The 5,648-nt window shown below is 40.3% G+C and overlaps 1 annotated feature.

The window, feature by feature from the left end:
* Window positions 3,767–4,345: an enhancer, noted in NCBI's record as "OCT4-NANOG hESC enhancer chr3:70882268-70882846 (GRCh37/hg19 assembly coordinates)". NCBI's record gives its function as "activates a minimal SCP1, AML or CMV promoter by ChIP-STARR-seq in naive H9 embryonic stem cells {active_cell/tissue: H9 hESC(naive)}" and the evidence as "EXISTENCE:reporter gene assay evidence [ECO:0000049][PMID:30033119]".

Genomic DNA, 5,648 nt, shown 5'->3' on the forward strand with positions numbered 1-5,648 from the left:
GAATCATACTGGAATGACTGGAATAAAGAAGCTCTTTTTTCCTGGAAATGAATCTAAGAGGATGTCAGTCTGGAGCTACTGGGGGCATTCTTATGACAAACCCCACCAACTAAAGAAAGATATCGACCGAAGCTAGTGATGTATTTGAACAGTACCTGGATCCAGCCACCCTGAAGATGAGAACTTCAACTATTCGAGAAATAATGTTCATTTTTTTCCCCCTTAAACTTGTTTGAATCAGGTTTATAGGTTTATGTCTCTTGCAACTAACATAATTTTAAGTAATTCATAAAATTTCCATGCATATTCTTCTTACTTCATGAATCTAAGTCAGGTGAAACTTGTATTTCCATTCATTTAATATATATGTACTCAGTGAATATTGTACAATGCAATGAAAGGGATAAAAAGATTCATTAGATATAATTTGTACCCTCAAAGGAAAATGTGAAGAAAAATCTGTAGAAATTAATTGACCTTTTAGAGACAGAGAGAAAGTGAAATTTCTGTTTTCTTTTCTATAAATGATGTATTATGATTTTTTTTTTTTAAGGAAGGCAATTAGTTAAGAAATCCCTAGGACACAGTATTTAGGAGCGTAGGTGGTTTTTTTGTGTTTTGTTGTTGTTTGTTTGCTTGTTTGTTTGTTTGAGACAGGGTCTCTGTTGCCCAGGCTGGAGTGCAGTGGCACTATCATGGTTCACTGCAGCCTCTACTTTCTCAGGCTCAAGTGATCCTCCCCGCTCAGCCTCCCAGGTAGCTGGAAGGACAGGTGTGCGTCACCATGCCCAGCTAAAGGAGCAGGGGTTTTACATCAGACAACCTGGTTTAAGCCTGTTTCTGTCTCCTACTACATGATCTACAAGTTACTTCACTTCTCTTAGTATTCATTTTCCTGTCTACAAAGTTAGTACAAATATACCTGGGTCAAATAATTTTTTGAAGATTGAGAAAATACATACAAATTATATATTATGCCAGATACATAGCATTAAGTGGTGGTTTTTAAAAGAAAATACTTAATACATGATTCAGTATAGTTCTTCACCAATTTTAGAATTTTTGGTTTGGTATCCAACACACAAAAAAGGCTATTTTAATTTGTATCTCCAGCCCAGTTTTATTTCTATGCATCAGGCTCCATGCAGATGTACAACTGCATACTGGTTATAGCCACTAGAATTTCTCACAGGCACATGGACTCCACCATGTCCAAAACCAAATTTAGTATTTCTCTCTGACCCCAAACCCACGTCTGTTTCTGCAATCTCCGTTTCAGTAAATGGTACCATCATGCACCAGAATCCCAGCTCACTCCCACACGCCCTCACTCCCCACATTAAATCAGTGGCCACAGTAGCCCACCAGCCTTCTAACTGGTCTCTCTGCCTCTATCCTTTTATCCCCTGGTCTGCATTCTGCACAGGAGTCAACTGATCTCCTCAATTCGCACACTTCCTGAAAACCAACAATGGTTTATCACTGGCCTTAGGATAAAGACAAACTCCTTAGCATGGACTACCTTTCTTCATGTTCCAGTGTCTTCACTGCTGCAGTCTGGGCTCATAACCCTTCCAAACCACACCCACCTCACCACCCCATGGTCCAGCCCTAGAAACTTCTCTCATCCCTCCTATACCTGCTCTATTTTGTTTCATGGAGTTTGCATATATAGTTTCTTTTTCCTGAAAGAGTACTTACTTCTCTCTCCTTACACCTCTCGCTTCATTTGATCTTATTTTTTATGTCCTAACCTACCTGTTATTTCTTCCAAATATCTCAGCCTTCCCTTACCAACACCTGAAGTAGGGATTATAATAGCATCTGTACCTTTCTGTGACAAAACCTACCACATATTTTATTTCTATATAAATATGTAGATATAGACATAGTGTAGTAGAATTATCAAATTCAGTGTCTATTCCAATGCCAGGAATGATTAACCTGGCTTGACAAACCCCCACAGATAGATATTCAGGAGGTGGGCTATAAACTTAATTGGGAAAAAGATTGCATCATTTTTTTCACTAACCTCAAACTGAAATTTATTCTTTCTAGTATGAATAGAGGCAACAAAACACAGTAGCATTAACAGTAGCTGTGATTTTGTCAACAATACATCATAGACATTTTATATCACATTACAGATATTGCTGATTTCTTGAAATACCATTTATGCTCATCATTTCTAAATTATGGTACTTTCTAGACATGCTGCAAAAATTTATTCAACGTGCATTAGTAGGCTGGGTGCGGTGGTTCACGCCTGTAATCTCAGCACTTTGGGAGGCTGAGGCAGGTAGATTGCTTCAGGTCAGGAGTTTGAAACTAGCCTGGTCAACATGGTGAAACCTCATCTCTACTAAAATACAAAAATAAGCCGGGCGTGGTGGTAGGCACCTATAATCCCAGCTACTAGGGAGGCTGAGGCAGGAGAATCACTTGAACCCAGGAGGCAGAGGTTGCAGTGAGCCAAGATCACACCACTGCACTCCAGACTGGGCAGTGAAGTGAGACTTAGTCTCAAAAAAAAAAAAAAAAAAAAAAAACAAAACAAAACAAAACAAAACAAACCAATGTGCATTAGTAAAGAAGCACATATACATTATAACACAGTATTTATATATTTAACAATTTCATTATCATTAGTTTACTTTATAAACCTATGTATTTAATATATTTAAAAATAGTATTCTGAGAAGGGGCTCATGGGCTTCACCAAACTTCAAAAGAGCTCTATAGCACAGAAGAGGTAAGAACTCCAGCACTTGGGTAAAAGCTCCATGAGGCCAGGCCACATGGGGCTGTTTCACTGCTATTTCTGCAGGGCCTTGCACAAGGTCTGTCAGAGTGCACGTCTCAGTAAATATGTGTTGAACTGATGAAAGCTTATTTTAATCAGGCATTATGTAGTAGTAAGCTCTCCACGAATCCAGACAATTCACTTGTCCCTGAGGGAGATGGTGGACCCAGCGGTAATGAATGGTTTATGTCCCAATCTGACGTATGTCAGGCTGATGTCCTGTACAGTAAAATGGGATGAGAACTTGCTGAGAATATGGCATTAACATTTTAAAAGATATCATGGGAAACAGTAGCCAATTCTTTCCCTATATCAAAAGCAGCTGGCAACACTGACCTTGGTGATGCAAAGACCAGTGAATAACTGTCACTGAACAAGTGTGATCTATTTTATAAAGCCCTATTTTTAACTTGACTTGGAGCCAGTTTTTTGACTGGACAACTCTCATGCAAACATCTGCTGCCAGCTTTTTCCTTTTATGCATAGTGGGCAGCTTGTGCAAGAAAGGAAGTTGTCAGACAGTGGCTGGGCCCCTGAGTCAGTGGACAGCTGAGCTCTTCCCAGTTTTCCATAGCAGAAAAGCCCCCTGATCGAGTCACTCCAAGCACATTCCAACTGACAGTATTTGACTTTGGAGTGGGCTCCTGAGATCTTTATAAATTTTTTTTCCAACAGTTATTTAAAGACCTGATACAGATGAAAGACCTCAAAGACCCTCAGATATATCCCAGGAGGCCTCTTGGACCTCTTTCCTGAAGTAAAACTGGATTCTTGTGGTCAGCCATTCCACAGGGTTTTGAGAGCCTGTTATGTGTCAGGAATTTATTAAGTTTGGGGTTTTTGTTTTTTGGTTTTTGTTGTTTTTGGCAGTAGAGAGGTCAATGAGTAAATCAGTGGCAGGAAAATTAGGACAAACCTTTCATCTGGTGCCAGGTTTCAGGTCTGAGCCAAATGTGTAGGAACAGTGGGGACTGGAAAGAGATGCCTCTGTACCATGTATGTCATCCCCAGAGCCACCAAAAATGAAAGTCTCCCTCCAAAGAGGAACTGGAGCATCCCAGAGGTAGTGTTCTTAAAAGTACAGATGTGGGCTACCTGTGTCAGAATTACCTGAGCCCCACCTGAGACCTACCTGAGGTTATGGGGCTGGAGCCCCAGGTGTTTCTAATGCATACTAATTTTGAGAACTATTGTTCTGGGCAATTTAAGGAAGCTGGGAGGAAATCATCTCATTCAGTGTGGGGGATTTGGTCTTTAACATCTCAAAGACCTGCCTTCCAGGAAGCTGACATCCCCAAATGGAGAATCATAAAAAGCAGAAGTCTCAGAATGTGCCTGAGCAATTCGTTATTTCCCACTCACTCGTGGAACTGGCCTTCAACATTCACCAGTGGTGGTAAATAGGTTCATGTAGCTTGTCACGGTAGATTGGAATGGACTCTTTGAGGCACTGTGTTGTGGATTTTGAGTTCATAGTTTGGCTAATTGACTACAAAACTCTTTCCTATGGAGCCAAACCACAGACTTTTGATAGGGGAAGAGCAAACCCCTTACAATTTTGCCTGTCACTGCCTTACCTCATCCTCTATCACTTTCGAGAAGGAAACAAAGGCATGCGTGTAAATGTCCAACTCTCTGTTCTCATTCTGAAGAGGATGCAAAGTTGGACGGGAAGTAAGTAGCTTTTGAAATCATACAATTGCAAGTTTGCCCACTCTGTGGGAATCTATACACTTTTGCATCTCTCTCCTGTAGTGTAGATCCCGGGAAAGCCTGACCCAAGAGAGCAAAATAAAAATAGAATTTGTTTGGAAATAAAACAAGATAGATCTACAACCTTCCATGACCTGTTCTCCCTTTCGTAAGTTGAGGATCAGTAGAAAGTAATTACACCCTTACTGCTCTAAATAAAATGCCACTTACTTTAGAGATGAGCTCTCTAATGTGGCCAGGGCATTTGTTTTATTATAGCTGACTTCCTTAATCAAGGAAATTTGTGTACTAAGGTGGTGGAAAAGAAAATGATGAAGCTGGAAATTGGAATCATTCACTGTTAGAGAAAATTTGTATGAAACACAGCTTTTTAAAAAAATTTTGGTTTTTTGTTTTGTTTGTTTTTATGTTCTTTGATCAAAGAATAGTTGCAATGCCTATTGCCTAAATTGCCCAATATTTTTAATTTTTATTATACAAAATGTTATACCCACAACATATCTCTAACACATATACAAGGTATAAAGATAACAATTATCCATGGAACTGCCACCCACTTTTAGAAATAAGCCCCATAGCACTAGAGCCCCCGAGTGCCCCTACCTGATTGGATGCCCCTGTCTCTCTACCTGACCCTTCCAGAGACAACCAATATTTAACCACCTTGAAAATATTTCATTACTTAAGGGAAGTGATCTTACTAACTCCTTACTAGGTATATACTTGAAGCCTTTTCATTGAAAATGCTCCAGACTGGCTAGCCATGATTGATTGATTAATCGATTTTTTTTGAGACAGGATCTGTCACCCAGGCTGGAGTGCAGTGGCACAGTCACAGCTCACTGCAGCCTCAACTTACCAGGCTCAAGTGATCCTCCCACCTCAGCCTCTCGGGTAGCTGGGATTATAGGCATGCACCACCACACCCAGCTAATTTTGTTTTGTTTTGTTTTGTTTGGTAGAGATGGGATTTCACTATGTTGCCCAGGCTGGTTTTAAACTCCTGGGCTCAAGCGATCTACCCGCCTTACCTTCCCAAAGCGCTTAGATTACAGGCAGGAGTCACTGCGCATAGCTCACGATTTAACCCTTACTTGTTCCAATTTATGTTCCTCCTAAATGGCTAATGTAG

This window comes from Homo sapiens, chromosome 3 (genome assembly GCF_000001405.40).
Source record: "Homo sapiens chromosome 3, GRCh38.p14 Primary Assembly".
NCBI lineage: Eukaryota > Metazoa > Chordata > Mammalia > Primates > Hominidae > Homo > Homo sapiens.